At 39.7% G+C, this 25944-nt stretch overlaps 2 protein-coding genes across 25 annotated transcripts in view, besides 1 other annotated feature; one reads left to right on the top strand and one right to left on the bottom strand.

The window, feature by feature from the left end:
• The window catches only part of MED12L (mediator complex subunit 12L), a 350990-nt gene that overhangs the window by 207510 nt on the left and 117536 nt on the right, over positions 1–25944 (top strand). The gene's annotated exons all lie outside the window — the stretch shown is intronic.
• GPR87 (G protein-coupled receptor 87) lies at positions 913–23647 on the bottom strand. The gene is made up of 3 exons (NM_023915.4): positions 23413–23647; positions 6894–7025; positions 913–2038 (listed from the first exon to the last, which is right to left on the bottom strand). The coding sequence occupies exons 2-3, from the start codon at positions 6925–6927 to the stop codon at positions 996–998; spliced, it is 1077 nt and encodes a 358-aa protein (NP_076404.3). The 5' UTR covers positions 6928–7025; positions 23413–23647; the 3' UTR covers positions 913–995.
• Positions 23033–24232: an enhancer, noted in NCBI's record as "MED14-independent group 3 enhancer chr3:151033994-151035193 (GRCh37/hg19 assembly coordinates)". NCBI's record gives its function as "activates an origin of replication core promoter dependent on BRD2, BRD4, P300/CBP and CDK7 cofactors, and independent of MED14, by STARR-seq in HCT116 cells {active_cell/tissue: HCT116}" and the evidence as "EXISTENCE:reporter gene assay evidence [ECO:0000049][PMID:35650434]".

Below are 25944 nucleotides of genomic sequence, written 5' to 3' on the forward strand. Positions count from 1 at the left end.
TACCTAACAATGATAGTCATTGTTGAGCTAAGTTATTCTTGTGCTCTCATTTTTGCTCATTTGAGCTTCTTAGAACTTTGCAGTTTACAAGACTCTAAATGAAGTATTGTACTGTGTTATTCACGTGTGTTTGACTGTTAACCATAACGTCTTCTTTTAGTCAGCAAACACGCCTTCACTCCTCCTCTGTTAATGCGTCTCCCACGAGGCATTTACGATGCTGGAGGGCAATCTCTTACCCAGAGGAATGAAAGGTAGTATCACAGGAGCATCACAGGAGTGGGGGTGAGGCATGAAGCACAGAGAGGAGGCAGAAGCATTTCCACAGCTCATTCCTACTTGCTTTTGGAGCCCTGAAGGTGGGCTCTGACCTGGACACAGAGGGTCCTAAAATGAAGCCCTTACACACACACACACACACACACACACACACACACACACACACGGTCCTAAAATGAAGCCCTTACACACACACACACACACACACACACACACACACACACACCCTCTACCTTCATTTCTATAGTGTTGAGTAAAGGAAAAAATAATTTTAAAAAATCCCCACACAGAGAATGAGGGGATGACTGCCAAAGATCTTAGTTTATAGATGGAAAGTAGTAGTTTCTTTTCCTATCCTTCAACTTCAAGGATAGATATAATTCTCTTTTCTATACTTTTTGTTCTCTGCAAAAGTGGCTTCAGAGCAGCAGCTTTTCCTGGAGGATGGCCACAGTGCAGGGACATTGCTGTGGCTCATTCTGCCCTTTCACTCTGCTCCTCAGACTTCCAGCCATTAACCCTGCCATTCACCCATACGCTACCTCTTGTTTATCTCTTTGCTATGCTTTAATGTTTTCCTTACTTTCAAATTATGACCCCATTTCATATCATTTTAGTTCTTTGAATTCATATTTTTGATGGGCTCAAGCAAGGATAATGAAAAGAAACATTTATTTACACTTTGTACATATCGATTCCAACAAACAATAAAAGGCCTACACATCAGTGTAATCATAATATATGCGAACTTCCGATCTTCTCACACTTTGCAGTGATCTGATGCTTTCACTCCTGGTTCTGATATTTGATTTTTTGAACAGCCTTCTTGAAAATGACCTACACATGAAAAAGTAAATTATTGGATCCAGGCAAACATTACACGCAGACAAGAAAAGTGTAATTTCTTTGCAGTAATATAGGATTTTTTGTGCAGATTCATCTAAAAGCCTGTCTAAGTGACTAAAAGTAAAAGGAATTCTGCACAAGTGATATGGTAGAAAGCAGGTAAAAAACACAGCCACAACAACCCTGATGCTCTGGTTATGTTTTCGCTTTCGGCTTGACTGACTTATGAATTGCCTGCTGGATTTGTGGATGTACCTGGATATGGCTATGTAACATCCGATCAGAATCACCAGCACGGCCACAAACAAGCAGCTGTTCACATAGGTGACTGCCGTATGCCATTTGACCCCCAAAGGACTTTTAAGTTTTGAGCAGTCATGGATATTGTCCTCTGTTGGCTGACCATTTGTTAGGATGATGTTTGGCAAAGACAAAACAGCCATGATCACCCAAACACAAACAGATAAAACCTTCGTGAAGGTTATGCTGTACATCCGAGAGTCCCCAAATGGCTTGACCACCTTCAGATAGCGATCAATGCTTATCAGCCCAAGGAACACGATGGAAGTATACATGTTTGCATAAAACAAAACTGAAGTGTATCTGCAGAGAATAAACTTGAAGTACCAAGGTCCAAATCCTGCATCATGGACTATTCGAAATGGAAATGTCAGCGTCATTATGAGGTCTGCAACCACTATGTTTTTGAGATAGAATATGAAGCTGGTTTTATTCCTAATGTGGAAGAAGATCCACACTGCTAAACCATTCAGCAAGATGCTTGCCACAAATATAATGAGATAAAGCACCGGCAAGACAATTGTGTCAAATTCATTGTGAAGGGTGGTGTTCTTTCCTGGCCCGTCGCTCCTGTTGCCTGAATTGTGACTCTCTTGGCCGTGCAGCTCGTTATCTGTAGGAGAAGTGGGGAGATAGGACTTCAGTGCTTGGCAAGCATGCCCACAGGCTACTAGGTTCCCTTACAGACCCAACTTTTTGTTATTTCAGGTGAACTTAAAGATGTCATCAATGATTTACAGAGTCAAGGTAGCACATTGTTAATGTTTTGAGTGGCCAAAGAATTAGTGACCTTCTCTCACTACCCTGCCTCCCTCATATCAGGACCCTTGAGTAAAAAGTCCCATTTCTGATCCCCTTTGCCAGCCTTTTGAAAATAAACATACCAGTGTAAATTATTCCGATTCTTACTCCCATGTTTGATATCATTACAAATAGAATCAACAAAATGTGGACAGAAAATTGAAATTTTCTATAACAAGAAAATACAATAGCCAACACATGGTTATTGTTTCAGTGTAGTCTTTGGCACCCTCTTTGAATATATCTTCCCTTCCCTTGCCTCAGTTTTAAGCTGTTTAATCATTAAGAATTAAGAAGCTGTAAAACTAGTGGGTCATTTTGAATTTTTTGCCTGTGACTTTCTTATAGTACTTAAGATATTTTAGGGATCATTGATAGGAATAGAAAGAAAATGTCTTGGCATTTTTTGTAAATAAAAAGAAAATCTACTGTCTTCTAAAGTGAACAGACAAAAAAAGTCCTGGATACATACAGATCTGACTTGCTGATTCTCTGAAATCTGTTTTCACCTTAGTAGAATTTAAGTTGCAGGCTGGTGTGAAGTTACTGCTGATTATTATAAATATTTACATGTCATCTAGTAAATTCTTCATTAAAATGCATTTGTATAGTCAGGAGTATCCACAAATGTGTTTTTGTATAGTCTAATGATAAATGCTGATTTTGTTTTCTCATTCTTATTAAGTTTTGCAGATTTACAGTTTATTACCAAAGAGGACAACTTGTTAAAAGTAATTGCAACCTGGTATATTTTTTTTGTTTACAAGGCTAGGTTACGCCTATTGTATTTATTGTGGGAATTTTTAAACCTTTTGCTTCTTTGGAATTTTTAGTTTCTGTTGTTAAAGACCTGTACCATATCACTGCATCATATAATCAGTGAAATGGGTCATGAGCATTTGACTTATGTGGCAGCCATGGACATGGGCCTCTCATGTCTCCTACTGTGGGGAGCATGATGGACAGGTAGCTCCTGCTGTGGATCCACCACCACATTCTTGCTGCTGCCACGCTTCCCGCGGACTGCTCCAGGCCTGTGATTGAGCATGGCAGGGACACCAAGACAAACCTGTTTTTGTAAGAGGAGGGGTTTCTCTGACAAAGGACTTTGGCTGGAGGAGTACTTACCAGTCTTCAAACCTTTTCTTTGAACTTTCTTCAAACTGCACTGTTCCTACTCAATCTTCCTTCCTTCTTTCTCCCACAAGTGGTTGGAAGGCTGTGCCAGCCTTCTGCTTGTCCCCATTTTCCCTGGTAGCCATTTTCCCCAGTAAATCTCTTGGCCATTTAAGCACATTTTATCATCATTATTTTTGGGGAACCTGAACTAATGGAATTAATTTATAGATTCACCTTTTGGAGGTAAGGTTAGAAGGAAGATCATTTCTCAATTTTTACTTCCCTGTAATTAATAATATTTACTATAGTTATAATTATGTTTTGGAATGGTTTTGTTATAGAGATAACACCATGAATTTAAGCCCTCACTGCCCTGCACACAGGCAGTTTAGTGTCTGTTTTGGTTCCCTTCTTTGAGGAGAGAAACAGGAAAGTTTTGATGATTAAAATCCAAAAACAGATTCCTAAATTGCTGCTTGACATCTAAGTGCAGGCTCTTCCTAATTCTTTCCCTTTTATTCCTTACCATGAGTGTTTTTAAAAACTGGTTTCCCTGACCTAACTATCCTTACACAGGCTAGTAATTTATATCTGGACTAGCCTGTTATGAGACCCATAGTATTACTAAGCTTTACAAGTTAAAATGCCTGATTCAGCAGCCATCTATATCACTGCTGCCAGTTTGTAATATTTCCTTGTACAGTATCATTCAAGCCTATTTTGATTTAATGACGTGTTGTAGTCTTGGCTGTTTTTGCATCATAAGATCCAAATCAGTATCAGTGACGTTAGGAACTTCTTAAGATGTGTGGCTTTAACTGAGTTAAGATGTCTGCTTGAATTAATTTACCCAATTAAATGATTAGCAGTCACTTTCATCTAACCTGGGATAGAACTCTTAGGGAAATAGAGAGAGGACATGTGAGTTTAAATCGGAATAAAGGGTCCAGCTGAGGGACACAGCCTGAAAAGGAGCAGCCATGTCATCTCTTGAGGTGCTGGCTGTGCCTTGTAACAATTACTTATGAATTGCTTTTCAAAATCATTTTAAATACAAATATATTAGTTCATGAGCTACAGCATACTTGGCAGGGAATATTTCAACTGCTTGTGTTGGCTCCCTGGGGATCTGCTATGCATACCTATCGTGGAGTGCAAGAACCCCTACTTCACAGTGTTGCTTAGGGATATGAGTTCCATATATCATTATAATATTTTAAAGTTTAATTATATGAACACATTCTTATTAAATGATGATATTGATGATGATTTTGCCTAACAATTATGGTTATTATTAAAGATAGTCTCCAATCAGAATGTCAAAAAAGGTTGTGTGTGTGTGTATACATATATACATATATATATATTATTACTCTCCTGGTTATTACTTCATTCACAAATTTCACATTTAGGCAGCAAAGCTTAAACAAATTAGTGGTTAAAGCCTGTTATGGGTTATTTGCTGAAACAATATGGTAGTAGAGACAAAAAATGGTTTGTAAGAAGCAGATGAGCCATTACTCATCTGGTTGCTCTGGAAGGCTCAAAACTTAACTTTGAGAGTTTCGTGTGATTAATTTGTTTTTTAGAATTAAGTTTATATCACATTCTTTTTTGCCAGCTAATGCCCATCATTTATTCTCTATCATTGCCTTAAATATTTCCAAAACGTATAGGTGTACTCAGAAGCATTTCTCTATATGATATTTCCACTCAGGAATATTGACCAGTAAAAGTGAATGGCTTTCTTCACCCAGGCAGTTTTATCATGTTGTTCTTCCCTGACAGTAAAGAACTTGGCCAAGTTAGGAAACATCTTTAATTGACAGTAGCTTGGTCATTCAGTTAAGAAAAATTAGAAGCTGTTTTACAGTGTAAAGGCTGTTTTCTCGCAATATGTGCATGCAATGTTGGATATTATCAAACATGATTTCCCCATCCCTTCTTCTTGTTTACTAGGGTGGTATTCTCTGGATTGTATAGTGCAGGGCTTGACACAGAGCGATAATTGAGAGTAAAACCTACTTTGGTATTCTCTCTGACTCTCATTCCAATTCCTTTTAAATTAACAAATGCAGTGACATAACTCAGTTTACTAGTTCCATAGTAAATTATTTTGTGCCATGTGTGAGGGTGGTATTTGTTTGGGACGTAAGGGAACTTTGGCTGTCTTTGCCGGGGGGAATAGGTTTGTGCATGTGTGTGTACAGGACTGAGTGTGTGTGTTGGGGAATGCTTGGGCTTTGTAGCCAGATATAGCACAAACCACATGTGGCTTTAAACTTTTAAATTTAAATTAAACATAATTTAAAAAATTAATTTCCTCAGTCATACTAGCTACGTTCAAGTTTCCCGGTAACCACATCTGGCTACTGTATTGGCCAGTGCAGATACAGGGAATTTTCATCAATGCAGAAAGTTCTATTTGACAATGCTGGTTTAGCCTCTTAATAACTGTAAAATGGAATACATAGCTGTCTTGCTGGATCTTCTGAGAGTTAAATGCTTTGCAAACATTTTGACTACAGTATCTAGTACTTAGTAGGTATGCATTCTATAACATAAAGCTTAATTACCATTTCTCTTGTTAATAGAGTCACATTATGAATGACAGAGTAGGGAAGAATCTGCCACTTTTGCCTTTGGTGAAGCTACATCATTGTTCACTGGGACGTGACACTTGGCACAAAATGTGAAAGTCTCAACATATGTCACTGCTCTACCTGCCAGGTGGGAATGAAATAATAAAAGTCATTCAAATTATAGGGTGTCACTACCAGGGCACAGCTGCCTAGGTCGGTCTTTCTTTCTTTCCTTCTTTCTTTCCTTCCTTCCTTCTTTCTTTTCTTTTCTTTTCTTTTCTTTTCTTTTCTTTTCTTTTCCCCTCCCCTCCCCTCCCCTCCCCCTCCTCTCCTCTCTTTTCTTTTCTTTTCTATTTCCTCTCTCTCTCCCTCTCTTCCTTTCTTCCTTTTTTTTCTGATACAGAGTCTTGCTCTGTCACCCAGGCTGGAGTACAGTGGTGCGATCTCAGCTCACTGCAACCTCTGTCTGCTGGGTTCAAGCGATTCCAGTGCCTCGGCCTCCTGAGTAGCAGGGACTACAGACGTGCGCCACCACACCTGGCTAATTTTTTGTATTTAGGTATGATCATTTTCCAAATAGTTACCCAGTAGATTAGGTAGATGTTATCTCTGGCCTCTTGGGGAACCTCATGAACCTTGGTTTAGACTATTAAATCTGGAAAGTAATACGTAATTTTAGTTTGTGTTTAAAATCTTCCATAAATATTATTAATTTAATCCTACTTGTCATTTTAGAGATGATGTCTAGATGAAACAAAGTTTAAAACAAAATGATAGCAAGCTAAATTTATCTCAGCGATACTGTCCTGCATGTTTGCTGTTTTATACATAAGGAAACACAAAGCTAAATGCTGGTTTATTTTGTTAGTTGGTTCTCTGACCATTAAACTCCCCAAATTCCCAAACAGTGGAAATAATAGTCATCAATAAAGTAAGATTTTCTTTGTATCTCTTACGACGGCTTACTTGGTAATTTTGCAAGCGTCAAGTTGAACCCCATTCTTCAGTTGTGATGCACTGTAAGCAAAGATGCGTGTCAGGAAACACTTGGGGACGATTGAGGCGTGGGTTCAGCATAGGTTATTCCTGGTTTGATTTCTGGGGAGAAAATGAAAAATGAGGAAAAAATCATCTGGGAAGGAATTTTAAAATACAACATTTTGGTCTTTTCAGTTAAAGCAATTGCCTCCACGATTCAGAAAGCATGTGCTCTTTGGAGATGAACACCTGGGCCACACAGAGTTGCCCTCTTTCATAATTCCCTGCTGGGAGTTATGTCTTGTGGGTGACTTTGGCTACATACCTTAACATTTCTGAGCTTTGCATTCTTCACAACATCTTAATAAAGGTTAGCTGAGACCATATGTATGTGCAATGTTGGATATTATCAAACATGATTTCCCCCACCCCTTCCCCTGCAGCTGGGTCTGTTCCCTGTTCTCTGGATTCTATCACGTATTGACCATAGAAAGCAGAATTCCTGGGAACTGTTCTGGAAAGTGCAGCTAAAGTAAAATATGCTTATAGGACAGTTTACCATTAGGGGAAGTCACACTCTTTCTCATGAAATAAAACCATGTGAGACTTTCAGGTCCCATCACTGATGTTGCTTAAAGAGACCCCAGGTAACCTCATTCTGTCCAATCACAAAGCAAACTTGAGGCTGGTGTGAGCAGTTACTTTTGTCCCTGCATATGTGCTGAGATAGCAGGGAAAGGGCATGTGGGAGGCAGGAGTATGTGTAAGAGTTTGCAGTAAGTGGAGAGGCAGTTATTATTTCTTTTTATGTTCCTGTGTGTGTCCTTCTCTTCTGTTTGCAAATATCACATGTAGCTAAGGTACTTGATTTGGTAGTAGATGGAAAAAATGGTTTTTAATTTTTCAGTGATGCTCTCCACCCAGAATCCACTCTTTTGAGAGTTTAGACAGTCTATCCATACGTCACCTTGAACAGCTCCGGTATGTGGTACACAGCAGAAGTCAGAAAGTGTTTTTTTGGTTAATGCAGCATAGGCAATGATTAAGGCTCTCAGAATCCCTCCTTTTTGGGTGCCAGCATCACATTATTTTTTAATGTAAGGCAAAGAGGTAAAACTCTACTTTCTTTTTATTTATTAAAGTTTACTGGGGAGAATGACTGACGCAGTTAATTTTCTAGACTTTATAATAATGATCTTTGGATTTCAGTAAGCCTAAAAAGCTTGAATCCAGTTTCTCATGGAAACATTTCAAGGAAATTGCCTGATAGACACATTTTTAGTTTTATGTTTCTCTGTTCTCAAGTTGTATGGTTGTCCTCTTCAGATGGCTTCCTGTAACCTTCCTCACTGACAGTTGCAGTAAGAGAGAGAGAGCAGACAGTTGGCCAATAAGCAGGACATAGAGAGAGAAGACTGGGAGAAAATATTTGCATGTTATATTTCTCATAAAGGATTTCTATTTAGACTATGCAAAGAACTTTTACAGCTTCTTAATAAGGAGAACAGAACCCAATTTAAAAAAGGTCAAAAGATTTGTCTAGACATTTCACCAAGAGCACAGGGAAAGACACTGAACATCATCAGTCAGTAGGGAAATTCAAATGAGAACCACAGTGCTATACCATCTTGCATCTACCAGAATGGCTGTATCTGAAAAAGACAGACAGTAACAAGTGTTGCTGAGGGTGGTGAAAACAGGACCCCTTATACACTGATGATAAGAATTTAAAATTACGGTACAGCCACTCTGGAAAGAGTTTGGCAGTTTCTTAAAAAGTTAAAATCAAATGTATCATATGACCCAGTAGTTCCACCTCTAGGTATCTAGCCACAAGAAATGAAAACTTATGTCCATGCAATGACTTGTATGCAGTTGTTTATAACAGCATTATTCATGATAGTTAAAAGCAGAAAGAAGCCAAGTGCTGACTGGAGAGTAGATGAGTCAACTGTGGTATAGGCAAAGGATGGAATATTACTCAATAAAAATAAGTGAAATACAGCTATTGTATAGATGAACCGTGAAAACGTTTTGCATGAGAAAGAAGCCAGATACCTAAAGACTACATGTGTTTAGGTGAAATGTCCAGGAAAGGCAAATCTGTAGAGGCAGAAAGTCGATTAGTGTCTGCTGGGGTTGGGGGCAGGAGTGGAGGGCATTAAAGATATTATTGTTTTGCTCCTTAATCCTGTGTTACTGTATGGTAAGGCAATTCTTGAATTATAATTGCTAACTAAAGATAAGGAGTTATTCTTGTAGTGTTAAAGATCACGGAATGTGAAAGTCAGAACATGCTAAATTCTGGTAACTAAGAGATCACAATAGACTTTTGGGAAATCTGCTTGCCCCATAATCTTTTGAATCATGGGAACAATAATACCTACTTTATAGTATCTAGCATCCCTCCTTCATGAGGCTAAATTGAATATACATTTATAAATTAAGTGCTTTATAAATGCCAGTTTCTGCTTCTGTTATTTCCATTAATCTTTGCCTAAATTAAAGTCAAGATCTTGTTACTCTTATTGGAACTCTCTGGTTTAACCAAACTGCAGACTGTCAGCCATATGCCTGAGTTTAATTCCCTACTTTTCTTCATACCCATTCCTGCCCTGTGAATGGCCTCCTTTCTCCCCTCTCTCCCTACCTTGGGAATCTCTGCTACTTCTTCAGTACCAGCCATAACCTGATCTCTTTCATAAGGTCGTTTACTAAGAGTCTGCTCATATTTCAGGCCCTGGAGTTTATAAAGAAGAGAAAGGTACATTTCTGTCCTCAAGTTTAGAGTCTAGTTGAGAATCCAGAAATAGACCATTTCAATATCGAATGAGAGGTTTGGGATGCTGTGAAGATACAGAGGTGTACCCGAACTGAGGGGAAGCAAGGATTACAGAGGTTCCATGACAACTATGATGCCCAGGTTGTGGCAGGTTTGCCCAAGGTCCAATCAGAAAGGAGCACATGGAAATGCTGAGTGTAGCCAAAGATAAGGTATAATAGTCTACTGAGGAACTGGTGACAGCATGTAGAGATGGAGATATATGACAAAATATGAGGCATCTTAAAGAATCTGTGGCTGAATGATGCTGGTGAAAAGGGTTAGAAGATTGTTGGAGGCCTCCCAGGTATTTGACTATAGATTTTAGTCTCTTTCGCTGATGTAGGACCCATGAAAGGACAAACACGTACTGGGAAGAGTGGAGTTTAGTTTTGGATTGGTTGATTTCATGATGCCTGTGTAGTATGCATGTGGAGGTGTCTACTAGATGATTAAAGAGAAAGGTCTGGAGCTTGGAGAAGTACTCCTGGCTGGTGATGTCTATCTAAGGCCAATAGAAAATAGGTGATAGAAGAAGCTGTGGGAATGAATGAGATTGTTCAAGATGAAACTGCACAGTCGGCCATGCATGGTGGCTCACGCCTGTAATCCCAGCACTTTGGGAGGCCATGGTGGGTAGATTACCTGAGGTCAGGAGTTTGAGACAAGCCTGGCCAACATGGTGAAACCCCATCTCTACTAAAAATACAACAATTAGCCAGATGATGTTGCGTGCACCTGTAATCCCAGCTACTGGGGAGGCTGAGGTAGGAGAATTGCTTGAACCCAGGAGGCGGAAGTTGCAGTGAGCTGAGATCACGCCACTGCACTGCAGCCTGGATGACAGGGTGAGACTCCGTCTCAAAACAAACAAACAAACAAAAAACCCAAAACCACACAGTGGAGTGAGAATAGCAGAGAGCTAATGTAGACTTTTTAATGGAGCAGTCTTAGGGTGAGGGGAGTGCCTGAAGGAGAGGCCAGAGAGTTGGGAGGATTACCAAATAATAATAATAATGTCATGTGAACCAAAAAGAGAGTTTAGGAAATGAGGAATTGTGACTAGTTTTATCCTGTGGGGGAAGTCAAGTGACATAGGACAGCAAAGTGCCACTGGATGGGATTCAGCAACAAAAAGGTCATTGTTCATCTTTGCCAGTGCTCCACGTGCTGGGGGGCCCAGGGTGTTTTGGGGAGAGAAGCCTAATGACAGAGGGTTGAGTAATGATTGTAAGGTGAGGAAGTGGAGGCAGCAATCTCAGAAAACTCTTTCAAAAAAAGAACATGCCTGTGACAGAAAGGAGACAGAGAAGGTGGGAGGTGGAGATAGATAAAGGATTAATGGAGGGTTTTCTTAAGCATATCATTCAATGTCTGGCATTTAAAAATGTTCTGGCCAGGCACGGTGGCTCATGCCTGTAATCCCAGCACTGGGTGGCCGAGGCTGGTGGATCACCTGAGGTCAGGAGTTCGAGACCAGCGTGGCCAACATGGTGAAACCCTGTCTCTACTAAAAATACAAAAATTAGCTGGGCATGGCAGCGTGCACCTGTGGTCCCAGCTATTCGGGAGGCTGAGGCAGGAGAATCGCTTGAACCCGGGAGACCTTGCAGTGAGCCGAGGTCATGCCATTGCACTCCAGCCTGGGCGACAGAGTGAGACTGTCTCAAAAAAAAATTTTTTTTCCAGCTTGGATTAAAAAAAAAAAAAATCCTGCCTTGACCTCTAGCCAAGTATGGTGGCACCGTGGTGGAGTGTATAGAGCAAGGATTTGATTCTCTCATTCTCTGAATTACAGCCCCAGCTCTGTTGGTTTTAGCTTCTAACCCTCCATTTCTGCCTGTATAAAATGGGTATGAAGACTCATCCATTATAGGTTGACTGCGAGGTTAAAATGATGAACGTTTACAAAGCAGCCTGTGTACTTGCGCAGGGTGGAGCTGAAGTCGTTTTAGTTCCTGCTGTATATCATAGGTACACAGTTGAATTTATTTAGCACTTCATAGGCTGGACAAGGGGGTTGAGGGGGGTGGATCCTTGCACCTTGTTTATGCTGAGATGGCTGTGTGGCTGGTGGCCTCAGCTGCCCTCTCAGGAGTCATTTGACTGATACTTTTGCTCCAATAGCTTGCCCTTCCTTTAAATTGTCTCAGAGCCTTACCTGCCTGCTGTCTTTCTGAATGATCAGTGCCTCAGCTTCAGCGCTCCCTGTGTGCTTTTACTACAGTGGCTCTGCATTGTCTGCATGTCCCAGCACTTGCAGGGTGTTGCAAGGAAGATTGCTTCAGTGGTAGTAAAGGGCTTGGTTCCAGGACCTGGATCCCGGGCGGGAATCCTGCCCTGCCACCTACTGTTCCTTCAGCTGAGAGCTGATGAAACCACACAAGAATGTGATGTTTGTGGTAGGCCTAGGTTTCACAGTCATTCCTGAGGTTAGATGGTATCGCTGCTTAGAGACCTGTTTTTTTTCCAGCCACCCATTGGTATTTTCCTTTGGCTATTTTACTAACCATGTTTCTTTGTTGTTGGTTGTAAAATGAGGTTGGTGGAAAAGGATTAACACATTCTCAGTTTCTCCTTGCTTTTGGACCCCGAACTTGGTGGTTGATACCTTAAGCAATCTTCAGAGCTACCCTAGGACCTAGATATATTTCCACCCCCGCCAGGTAGGAAGATACGAGATTCAGACAGTTTAATTAAGTTGCCCTGACTCACACTGTGAGTAATGGGTAGAGCTGGGATTCATATCAAATACAATAGAAACTGAAATTGCAGTTCTATTATACTGTTGTGGAGTAAAAGTGAAGAATGATTCTGGGGGGTTATTTTAGAGGACAGGAAGTGGGAGGGGGGCAGTATTGGGCAGAGGTAGGAGTCTGTTTTCTCCATCAAGCTTGTGAAGGAACTGCTAATCTTCCAAACTAGAGGTCTAGTTTTATTTGGCCTGAACAATGTTGAAAACATCAGGAAATTTCACATAAGAATCCAGATTTGGAACCCATTTTGAAAGATGAGAAGATTTGCTAGCATCCAGCATGAACAATCCAGCACTATTAGTTGCCTCTTCCTGATGGGGAAGTGAGCTCTCTCCAGTTCTCTGGCTCACAGCATACGCGTTGACATCCCTGGGCCACCTCTTTCAGGAGCATTACCTGCCGGGTCCTACAGTCAGTTGATTTGGCAATGATTATTCCGCTTATCATTTAATCTTATGTGGCTATACTTAACCTCTATAGATCCCCAATTGTTCTACTTTGATTATAAATGTATCTTTCCCTTCTTCTGTGTCTCTCCTCCCTGCAAACGCCTGATTTTTCTTGTATTACTGACCATCACTTAACCATTTCTTTTCAAATGGTTTTTCTTATACCTCTTAGCAACCCAGAAAAAAGTAGTGACAGGAGGTCATGTTGATTAGTTCACACCTGAGAATGTGTTAATAGTCACAGTGGAGCTTTTCTCTGTGCCTGCCCCTCTACTGGGGCCTTTAAGTGAAAACCCTACTGATTGTGTTATAAAACTGCTTTCGGTGGGGAAAAACTGAGGTTTCTGGTGTTACGAAAAGCTTCTGAGTAGTGGAATAGGGACTTGACCCCAGTTGTGTTGGATGCCCAAACATTTGCTCTCTCCCCAGAAGGGCTATGGGAGGACAACATCCAGGACTACTGAACAGCTACTTTGGACACCCAGCCTTGTGGTCCACACAGAGCCAGCCTGCTGTTGCAGTTCACTGGATTGGATCTTGGCATGGGTGGGGAGTCATTTGTACCACGCCGGGGGAAACTCTGTCAGCAGGAAGAGCAGGCCGGTGTGCCCTGCCCTGCCATGGCAATGCTTTAACTCTCCCTGGGCTTCATCTCTCTTGTTATTGCCCTCTGGTCAGGATCTTGAAATATCAGTGCCAGTTAAATGCTGGCTCCCTAAATGCAGTTGCTCATGATTAATTTTTGACTTAGTGTTTGGTAGTGGTGGTTCTCAAATGACAGAGTTATAATATCAATATCTTTGCTATCTGTCCTCCACTCTCCAGTTTTCCCTCTAAAAGCTCACATCTGAAATTGTAAGAATTTGAGATCTGAAGGTTTATTTTGCCACTTTAGTTCTGAAAAGCTATACTGAACTGATTGATTATATAGAGATATTGATGTAGTTCCTGCATTTTTGTGGTAAAGAGATAGTCTTCACAAAAGCCATCTGATAGAAAGTTTATTTGAAAGATACAGGATCTCTTCTATTTTGGAATCACCTATAATCTAAGAATCTTTCTCAGTTTAAGCCTGACTTTATGTGTATGTGTATTTGTAAATTTATGTGTGTTTTTCAACAATGCTAAGATTATAGCTCTGCTGAAGGCCTGGGGAAAGAGGCAGATTACCTCACTGGTTATGAGTTACCTCTTATTGTAATGGAATTAGGTCACTGTATTCATAGCACATTTCATTAATGCATGCATGGAGTTAGTCTCCTAAATGTGTTGGAATGCAAAGCACAGCAGCCCTTCATTCAGGTTTTTCAGGTGCTACACTGATGTTCTGTTCTCATAGTTTTGCTGGTACATGTAGCTTACAAATAGACCTATTTTGGTTAACAATTTAGAGTTAAATTTTTTTTAGGTGACCTCAGGTAACTTGCTCTGTGTGTGTGTGTGTGTGTGTGTGTGTGTGTGTGTGTGTGTGTGTGTGTGTGTTTAGAGCAGATGGGGGGTTGATGTAAAGTGGATTGTAAACTCCCTGAAGACAAGATTTGTGTCTAATGGTTCTTTATAACCTTAACCTCAAACCTGACTATTCTTTTTGACAAGTGAGGGAACTGAGCAGGATTCAACAACCTGCCCAATACCACACAGATGGTGAGAGGCAAAACCAGGAAATGAGCTCTAGCTTTTAAGACCCCAGAACAGGCTGCCTCTGTGGTGTTGCTTTGCTGGCCTAGTGGAGTGTCAGAAGTAGCTTCCCTGGTAGAAAGTGTTCTAGACTGAGATTCCCTGACCAGTGCAAAGTATCCTAGACCTGGATTCAGTAGGCAGCTGTTAAGTTTTTGGCTCAGTCTGTGACCCTGTTAAGCATTGTACCTCACAGAGCTTGAGCCTCCTCATCTATGAAACAGGGAGAATAATAAATACCTGACGTACTTCCCAAGGGTGCTGTGTGAATGTGGTAAGAAAACATATGTTAAGTCAATTTTATATTGTAAGTGCTATAGTAATGTAAAGGTGTAATTCATGGCAAGTATACTTTGCTTAAACATATTTCTTAAAAAGCATATTTAAGAAATATGCTTTTCTTAAACAGAAAATAAAAATACACTTTTTAACTCAGTAAGTTGTAAAATTTGAGTAAAATTCCTACTACTCACATTACTATGGCTATTGTGAGTCAGATCAGGAGATCTGTATCACATTACTATGTAGTTGTGAGTAATAAGAATTTTACTCAAATTTTACAACTTACTGAGGTGAAACATGTATTTTTATTTTCTGTTTAAGCAAAGTATAAATTCCATATAGGTAACTTCTGGATCATTTATGTAAGAGGCTAGTCAGTTTAGGGGCCACAGTCCCAGTAGCCAACATAGTGGTTTTAAATGAATATGTTCTAAACTAAATACATTTCAAGTGACTTCTGGCCCTTAAAGATATTCTTAGAATTCAAGACTCCAGGTAAAGTCTTTAGTTGTTTGATTACTGTTTACTAGGCTATTAAAAGATGCAGAATGCTTTTCACAAGTTCATGTAGATGCTGTTCCTTGTTTTGGAATAGCATCCTGTGGCTTAAGCATTCTACTTAAGAGTTATAATTATTCTTCATGGTGGTGGTGGTGGCGTCACCTTGATATTTTAATACAGTCATCATTATAGTTTTCTGGGCTGTGGGATATGGTGCAAGTATTCTCCAGACCTTTCCATTAGAACTGTTGTCAGGTTAGCTACCCTTATTCTTGTAATCACAGCTTAACCAAACCTTAATGCTGTTTAAGTTAATGGAGTAAGACAATTACCTAAGAGAGCATTTTTACTTCAATTTCATCACTTGTCTTCACTGACAATTTTAAAATTCTCAAGTGAAGTCTTTAATATGAGTGGATATTTCACCTTTCTTAATCAGCATCAAACGTTCACTCTCATTTTTCTCTTCTCATGAATACAAATAAATAACCCACCCTCACCCATATGTAGTAAAAGGATCTGGGATCACATATAACTCATTTCATGAAATACACGCACACACACACACACACACACGCACACACACACACACACAACGTTTCTTCAAAGTAATTCATACTTCAGTGAATTTATCAACTTCTGGCATTAATCATGTTTTAAACAATGTCTCTTAAACTAATAGGAATATTTGAATTAAAATATTTTTCTCTGGCTTGATTTATAGATGTAGTAACTTCCTCAACTAGGAGAAATAGTAACCTGTATATTTGTATTATCTTAATATTTGCCACATGCATTTTCCTGCTATTCACATTTCTTTTCTTGATGTCCTCTTCTGTCACAGTCTTCACTGGCTTACTGTCTTATATGGGATACAACTCAGGCTCCTCTGCAGGTGATGAGGACCTCCTGACCTGACCTGTATACCTGCCCACTTTATAGTTCCTGCACCAGACCCTCCTTACCTTGCATTTTATCCTGAAAATCCCTTCTGCCTCTTATCTATTAGGCAAGCTCCCTATACCGCCTTCAGGTGTAACTCATCTGCCTCCTCTTCTCAGAGCTTTCCATGTTATCCCCATGTGCCACATAAGTGCTCCTCAGCCCCTGTGGTTTCCCATACCTCCAGCTGTTGTATTCTATTTTTGTTGTTTGCCTGACTACCAGAGTGTCCTTGCATCCTTTTATCTCCAGGGTCTAGCAGAGTACCTGCGGGCACAGAGTCAGAGTTCAAAAACACCTTTGACTTACTATTAGGCAGTCATGGAATTTGGCCTCCTCTCTGACTTAATTTCATTTTGGAAGGCATATGTCAGTTTTTTGTTTTTTATTTTTAACAATTTTTTTTTCTGCCTTCTGAAGTGAAATGGTACAACCCAGGGAGGGGTGGAGACAAGAGTAGGAATTGGCCATTGACCTGTGTAAGGCATGGCTGAAGACCAGGAAGAAGGCCTGATCAAACCATTAGGAGGCTAATCAAACGCTGGGCCTGCTGACATTTCTGAATAGCTCACTGTAAAGTTGGGGGAGCTAAAGTGGAGGGCTGCAAATTCAAATGCCAGCAGCAGCCCCACAGGTTATGTCAGTGAGGAAAGTCAGCCAGGTATAAGAAGAAACAACAGTACCAGTATGCTAATAAAAGACAGCTAGTATGTCTAACACTTATGAAATTTTCATAATTAGAATAAAGTACACTGGGGAGAAGGAGGCAGAAAGGTTTCCATAGAACAATTATGAAGAAACAGCAGTAAGATGAAAATATTTAAAGTGAGCCACATGCCTGGACCCCATTATGTTGTCTTATCCTGCCTCTGTAAAATGGCTTTGCCTGGATTAAGCTTTGAGTTGGTGTCTTCAAGCATTCAGCCCTTTTCACTGTGCCTACTCTTTGGGTGTTCAATACAACATTGGTTCTTTATGTTAAGACTCATGGGAGAAAGTTATTTCTACTCTACATAATAAGAATGGTGTTCTGTAGGCCAGCTATGAATTTATCAACACCAAATCATTATGCCTTCTTGTTTTCCTGTTGGAGTTGAGATCCACCTTAAGGCCCAACACCATCTGATAGGGATGAATGCATTTGGTGAACTAATTTCTCATATGGTTTTTAATTTCCCACCATTCTTTTTCCCAGGCTTCATTTGTTTAAATTTAAGTTCATTTGAATTAATTTCATATTAAGCATCTCCATAAAACACCTTATTTTTGTTGTTGTTGGAACCAGAAAGATTATAAATAAATAATTATATGAGTACATTGGAAGGAGAGCTTAGTTGGCTTGAAGTTAATCAGGTTGTAATTGACAGAAGAGGAAAGGGAGGCAGTATGGGAAATGTACCATCTCTAGATAGGAGCTGGGGTGGGGAAAAACTTTAAGGGTAGAGTTGTTTGGCTTTGCCACCCTGGCTGTGAGACAGTTATTTTGCTGAGAGCATCTTCCAGGATGGGGAAGCCATCAGAGCAAGAAGTAGTGTACCATGACATTTATATTTCAGGTGCCTGCAACTTTGAGCACTCAAACTGAGTTCCGCACTGGCCAGTTGTTTAGTGCCTGTCTTATTTGCAATTTCATATAGACTGTAAACTGGATATAAACAGACCATGGTAAGATCCAGCATGACTCTGTGAAGGATTGAGTACATTTTAGCATTTCTGGGTCTTAGGATGAAAAGTAGAGATAATACTTGAGGTATTGTACTGTTGGCTCTAGGCACAGAATGAATAGTTTTTAAAATTATATATATATATATAAACTGTGTGTGTGTGTATATATATATATTTAGTGTTGTTGTTTACATTATGAAATTAGAATGAATGTTTTAGGGTAAAGGGAATATTGATGTTTAGCAGATACTATAGTTTTATTTTTCCAGCAGCCATCATGGTATATGCTGACACATTGATGTAGTAATTACCTTTTAAATGGCATTTACTATTCTTCTATTAATTTGTTTTGCTATATATAATATAGGCATGTACCGTTTTGACCTAATGCAAGCCATTATCCTCTAAAAGTTTTCATTTTTTAGGTTTTTAAAATGCTTAGGTGTGACAACTAGAATACAATTGTAGCTGCGATTATTTAAGGATTGCATATTACTTTGAGCCACATTCTACTTCATCATGATATGTAGCACTGTTTTCTATATAAATATATCTAGTAAACAGTTAATTTTAGGCCAGGCGTGGTGGCTCATGCCTGTAATCCCAGCACTTTGGGAGGCTGAGGTGGGCAGACCACGAGGTCGGGAGTTCAAGACCAGCCTGACCAACATGGTGAAACCCTGTCTCTACTAAAAATACAAAAATTAGCCGGGTGTGGTGGCAGGCACTTGTATTTCCAGCTACTCAGGAGCTGAGGCAGGAGAATTGTTCGAACCTGGGAGGCGGAGGTTGCGGAGGTTGCAGAGGTTGCAGTGAGCCAAGATCACGCTGTTGCACTCCAGCCTGGGTGACAAAGCGAGACTCCGTCTCAAAAACAACAACACAAAAACAATTGATTTTGCAGTTTTTCCCAATTTGTCTTGGAGCCGGTTTATCTAAAAAAGTTTTGAAAGGCCCAGTGATTTATTTTCAGTTTTATTTGTAATTTTGGGGCCTAGCAGGTCTGAGGAGGAACAAGATGGGGGACAGGTAGGTCATCCACCCCGAAAAGAGTATAGCAAATCCTCAAATGCCTACAGTCTAGAGGCAACAGATATTTATGCATTGTTTTCTTGGATCTCTCTTTTTAGTTCTCAGCCTGAGAGCCACAGAGCTTCATACTCTAGTATGTGCAAACAGTCCAAGTATTCTGTTAACTTTTTTCTTTCTTAACTAGATCATAAGCTCCTTTAGTACAGGGACTTCAGATCATTTTGTTTCTGCTGCCCTTTTGGTATACTGGCCTTTGCTTTGGAGGCATTCCGAATCTTGATATAGTCAGTAAAGGGTACCCTCTAGACTCAAGGACTTGGAAAACAAAGTTTCACTTTGTTATATGTCCTCCAGAGAGTTTCTCTGGTGGTCAAGAGACAGTAATATCTTTGACCTGAGAGCCTGTTCAGGCTACAGGGCAAAACCCTTTCTGGGAGCTTGAGAAGTCTAAGTGTCTATCTTGCTACATACAACAACAGTAAAAGAGCTCCCCAAATGCTGGCTAGTATTATTGTGTGCCTAGAAGTGTTCTAAATTACCTATGTATATTTTAATTTATTAAAAGGACTTTGGATTCACATTACAGGTTTGCCACTTACTTGGGCAGGTTACCCAACCCCTCTGTGCCGCCTTCTTCTGTAAAACAGCCCTCATAAGATTGTTTTGAATGAAGTATTACCATAGCATAGACCTTTTATTCAAACTTGACATGTAGTAATAACTCAGTATTGACATGCTACTTGAGTGGGTAGTAAGAATTAGTACTCTAGTTTTTCAGATGAAAAAACCTGAGGCTTAGAGAGAATACTTGGAATACAATATACTTGGGCTATTTGCACATGTTATTTGTTCTTTGAGCAGATATGTGCTGTCGCTGGAGTGCTAGAGCTTGCCCTCATTAACACCACTAATGAGGGGCAGAGCCTGGATTTGAACAGAACGTAAGCCCATCTCAGTGCTGTGCTCCTAACTACCGCTCTGCTACTGCCTGCACAGAAGTTTGGTATTCATGTGCTGATTAGCACCTGATGCCTCCTTTGGGAAAACTACCAAGTTAAAATAGCTCCAACTTGATTGCAGGGGATCATGCACCCAAGTTGGCCATTTATCTACTGTAGTCTATACTATGGTACTAGTATATGGTAAATATACAATAAGTCTATATCATTTTACATATGAAACTACCCACAAAAAGAGGTAACAGCAAATACAGCGTGGTTGACTGTGGGCAGTGGTTCAAGGTCAGAGCTGTGCTCCCTACTGTTATGCTTGTTAAGCCTCAGTTTGCTCAGCTGTAAAAGTGGATAATAGTAATTTATACCTTAAGGTTGTCTGAGTTAAAAAAAAAAATGCATGATAAGGCCAGGTGCGGTGGCTCACACCTGTAATCCCAGCACTTTGGGAGGCCGAGATGGGTGGATCACCGGGTCAAGAGATTGAGACCATCCTGGCCAACATGGTGAAACCCCGTCTCTACTAAAAATACAAAAATTAGCTGGGCATGGTCGTGGGCGCCTATAATCCCAGCCACTTAGGAGTCTGAGGCAGGAGAATTGCTTGAACCCAGGAGGCAGAGGTTACATGGTGGTGGGCGCCTATAATCCCAGCCACTTGGGAGGCTGAGGCAGGAGAATCGCTTGAACGCAGGAGGCAGAGGTTGCAGTGAGCAAAGATCACGCGACTGCACTCCAACCTGGTGACAGAGCGAGACTCCGTCTCAAAAAAAAAAAAAATTGCATGATAAAATATGCAGTAATCTTGTCACATATCAAGCTAGATGTATATGCTAATTATTGTTGTTTTAGTATTAAGGATAGAAGGACAGTTTGTGCCATACGGATCCTATCTAGTACATTAGAAAAGGTCATTTAAGGAGCTTTGCTCTTCTTTTAAAATGATGGAAATCATTAGAAATTACTGTTTAAGAGAAACTATAGAATCATTGATATAAATGACTTAATGTCATGGCTTACACTAAATGGAACTTAATCAGTGCTCTCGCTTAAATGTATTTTAGTGTAATTTTTTAAATGTTTGGCCAATAATAATATTAATGAAACAAAATATGTTAATTAGGTACAAGATAGAGAACAAATATTCTATTCTGCCTGTGTTTGCCATATAAGGAGGGAGAGGATTTCGTAATATTTGTAAGGTCAGAAAGAACCTGTCTTTCACCATTGGCCTGAAGCAGAAGGTCTGAGAGGTGGGTGCATCTCATCTAGTTTTTAACAGCAGGGTCACCTTGCATTTGCTTCTGCTCTTGCCTCCCTGCTTTAGATAGTTACAAGTATAAGAACTGCAGCTGGCACTTGTATTAATACTTGTATTAATGCAAAACTTTCAGCCAGGTAGGAAGAGCAAATAGTACATTCATCTTCATCTTGTAGAGGAAGAATCTGAGACCTAGCGAAGTCGAGATTTGATTAACATCACGTAGCTGGCTAGGGGCAGAATTGGGAAGGTCCTCATTTGTGGCTCTACCCCATTTCCTCTCAAGCATTCCTGTGTGCTTGGTCCAAGCCTTGGGTTCTTTCATTACCAACCCCAGCGTCTCAGCATATCACCTGGATCGTGGGAATCTAGAGATGCAAGGGGCCTCTAATGACCCTCTGATCTAATCCCTTCATTTTACCTGTGAGGAAGGGAAGTGAGCTCCTGGGGAATTCAGAGACTTGCCTAAGTCACACTGATAATATTTGGTACAATCAGCCCTTAAACCCAGGTCATTTTGCTGTGAGTCCTGGGCTTTCTACTTTAAACCCAAACTACTGCCTCTTGCCTGCATAGAGAACATCTACCCTGGAGACTGGGGGATGCTTCTAGGGAGGTGACTTTACGTAGATTTCACCTCACTTCTGTCCTGTCTTCACAACCTTACCCTTTATTGGGCTTTGAGGGATTTTCATGGATTTTCCAGGCTTTTCTTATTTCAGGAGCATACAAGGAACTAATGGCCATTGTGGTCTCCTCTATCTTAACTTTCCTTGGTATTTTCTCAGAGTAAAGAGCTAAGCGTGAAATATTTTGTTGTTGTGGTTCTTAAAGAGAGTTAAATGCCAAGATATTAAGGAAGAAAAGCAGGCAGACTCTGAAGAGCACAAACAGCACAACTCTAAATAAGAACATTCCTTTTAACTTAGTCTTCCTTTTCCCACCCACATCTCTGAATGCAGTAAATCCTCTTAGCATGTTATCTCTGGTTAGGGCATTTTCTCAGTGTCTTCATGAAATAAAGATTTTCTGGCGGGATACTTTCTTTTTATAGGCTGTATCCTTAAATATGAAATTCAGCCATCCATCTGCTCTTCTAGGCCCTTGTCCTTAACCCATGTATACCTGCAACACATTTCAAGTAGAGGTCAGAAACAAGAGTCTGAGGATGAGATGTTGCTGAAGGATTAAGAGAATATGCCTCTTTGATCCCTAACTTCATGGAGACAGTTAATCTCAATTGGCAGAAATAATAAATATCAACAGGGTGTCTGGCTTTTTTCCCCCCAGTATAAAGTAATATAGAACCAGATTTGTTGCTGTTCATATTGCTAGTAAATTGGAGAACAATTATGAAAGAAATCTCTTGTTAAAAATGTTAATATACCTAAAATAAAAGCAGATTCAACTTGAGAATGTGATGTAAAATTCCATAGCAGATAAATCTTAAAATAAGAAATCAAAAAGTCACTCTACTTTAGGCTCATCTATCTTTTAAAAGTCCTTATTAAAATTTAAAAGAACTGAGATCTCCATGCTTGCTTCTTGTTTTCCTCATTGCAGTGAAAACTTCCCAAACAGTTTGAATGTGGAACAACAGTAAGCTGTTCCTAACCTGTTTGTCAGTCACTGGGCAGTTTTCTCAGTGCCTTTCCTGACATGTTTTAACATGACTTCTCCAGGGATCAGAATGAGGATTGCCCTGTTCTTTGTGGTACAATGAAAAGACTGAGATTATTTTATCAAAATGAGACAGTTGGGAAAGAGAAAAATCTTTGTCTCTCTCTTTAAAAAAAAACAATACGGATAAACGATTATGAAACAAATTTTAAGTTTTGGGTCCTGGGAAACAATTATAAGAGACTTTGACTTTTACTCATCTAATAAAGTAAATGTGGTTTAAAAAAAAATGTACTAAATAGGAGTGATTGCCAAAACATTGTTTCTACTTTTGAAGGCACAATATGTAGTTTATATTTCTGCCTGCCTGAGCTGGAAACAGTTGAAGCTTCATGGCTCACAGTGGTGCCTCATATCTTACTGTCAGCATTCTAATTTCTAGTTTTTCTTCAAACCTCAGAGTTAAGCAGAAGTATAATTACAGTTTTTAATCATTGCTGTGTCTTATCAACCACGGCTTTTAAGAAAATGAAAAATTTTTCGTTTACCTTTCATTGTGGTGGCTGGCTGTCCATTCACCTCATACGGTGTCTTCAAGTTGAAACAGGTTTCTTGTCTCTAATTAAGAATAAGCTTTGAAACTAAGGTCGGCAGGGAAGTGGATTTTCTGGTAAAGCATGAAAACGAAACATCTCCCCTACCAGACAAGGTAGGTATCTCCCTTACCCCTTTAGAGATTGTCCTTTGGGGCACCCTTTCAAATTCTCCTGCCAGGCGACTACTGGAACAACTTGCTCTCTTGCTAATGTAAATGACTCATAACTAAGAGTAGGTGAGATTTGTCGACTGGGGAAGAGTATTTCCTGAACCTGCAGGAATCAGATGGTGATTCACCTGAAGGAAACACAGAGGGCTGGAGCTTAGACTGCCAGAAGTCTGCTTAAGGAGTGGGGGATGAAGTCTCGGGTTGGGGCCTACTAACTCATCAGATCCAATTTTTAGGTCATTTTTTTTTTCCAGCCTCCTATTGCTATCTAGAAAACATGTATTTGCAGCCTTCCTGCCAATTAAATTTTGGATTAAAAGAAATAAGAATATGCTTTATGACAGATGAATTCTTTGAAAATATTATTCTACATATTATTTAAAGAGTATTGTTGTAATTGATAACTTTGGAAACTTGTAGTCTTATGAAACTAATGAAATCTGTAGACATATTTTTACACATACACAATAGACATATTTTTACACATACACAATGATAAGTATTCAAAATATGTTAAATTATTCAGGGGCTGGGTTCACTGACTCCTTTGAATGCTGACCTTTAACATAAAACAATTTATTTTATTGCTTTAAAAAAGCATCCAACAATGACAAATTTATATAATCATATCACTTTTTTTTTTTTTTTTTTTTTTTTTTTTTTGTGAGACGGAGTCTCACACTGTTGCCCGGGCTGGTATGCAGTGGCATGATCTCAGCTTGCTGCAACCTCCACCTCCCGGATTCAAGTGATTCTCCTGCCTCAGCCTCCTGAGTAGGTAGGATTACAGGTGCCCACGACTACACCCGGCTAATTTTTTGTATTTTTAGTAGAGACGGGGTTTCTCTATGTTGGCCAGGCTGGTCCTGAACTCCTGACCTCATGATCCGCCCGCCTCAGCCTCCCAAAGTGCTGGGATTACATGTGTGAGCCACTGCGCCCGGCCACTTTTTCTGATTTGTAAATAATTTTCTTGCTTTCAGATGAGAATCTCAAAGATTCTGATATTTTCTTGAATGCAACATTTAAATACATTTAAAAAAATAAAATTTCATCAAATGGAATCAAAACCTGTTATTGTGGATGAAGATAAATGAAAATAATCAAAGGTGAAAACTTTTTTGGAGTGAATAAATCTATAATAGGTATTACTTAGTGTTTACTTGTGTCTTAAGGAAATAATGTGTACGTACTAGTTGATTTTCCTTATGTTTTTACAGAAAAACAAATGGGTGTTTAACTTAAAAATCAAGAGTTGGGTATCAAAATTATATTTTTTGTATTTTCCTATCTGCTTCCTAACCATACAAAAACAGACACCTACAATTTTAATTTTTTTTTTTTTTACATTCTGCTTTGGGTGGATTAAGTATGTTACGGAAAAGTAGCTAGTCCTGGGGAAGGTGTTTGAATAACAATTAGCCAACTTAATAATGGCCTAATCTTTTAAGAATTTGCAGATTTACAAACAATCCTTCATTTAGTTTTGACTCTCTCTGTGCTATTTTATACTTCCCCATTGATTTAGCATTTGAAGCCAGTTTCTTTTCTTTTCTTCTTTTTTTTTTTTTGAAACCAGTTTGTTGTATTTTGAGCAGAAGGGTTATGCTATGCAGACTTTAGTTTGGGAGATTTGTCCTTGTGTTGACCTTTTTGCCATTTTTTCATGATGATTCATAAATAATAAATGAGGTACTGCTCATAATTTGACATTTTACTGCCAGAACAACTAACTGTTAAGTACTAAAGGCATCAGTCAAAGGGAGAAGCATCTCTTATGGCCCCCATAAAAGTATGTTGTGCAAAGAACTTTGCTGCAAGTACTGAGGATTATCACCCCAAATTTCCAGTGATGTGTATAAAATCTTAGTAGGGAGCTTATTCTGACAGATATTTGACAGGCTTCTGTTATAAGAATAAAGACCTTTTAAAAAAAAGAGAGGGCCCTACTGTGAAAGGGTTATCATAGGCCCTTCTAAGTGCGAAGAAGGGCTTGTGAGGGGCCTATGAAATTTTCCTGTATAATGAAGCATCTTTAACTTTATGTGTGATGGTGTTAAGTAGGAAATAAGGTGATGTCCCTTCACTACAGTAGGTGGCCCCCTTTTTCTCCTGAAGTGGGCTTGGGATAGGATGCACTTTTTCCTTTCCCAATACCTCTGTAAGCAACGTGCCCGGGACGGTAGCCTAACAGCTGGCTTGGAGTGTTTCAGTGTTTCGTTGGCTGGCAGCGCAAATTTAGTATAGTAACAAAAAAGTTAACGCAAGGCAGCCTTTATGCGTTAGTCTTAAAGTATATTATGCCAGTCTCAAG

Source organism: Homo sapiens, chromosome 3 (assembly GCF_000001405.40).
Source record: "Homo sapiens chromosome 3, GRCh38.p14 Primary Assembly".
In the NCBI taxonomy this organism is placed as follows: Eukaryota; Metazoa; Chordata; class Mammalia; order Primates; family Hominidae; genus Homo; species Homo sapiens.

Coding starts and splice junctions, on each gene's coding strand:
- GPR87 (NM_023915.4), bottom strand. CDS start 6,927: ATGGGGTTCAACTTGACGCTTGCAAAATTACCAA. Junction 2,039..6,893: donor GACGCTTGCAAAATTACCAA/GTAAGCCGTCGT, acceptor CTTCTCCTACAG/ATAACGAGCTGCACGGCCAA.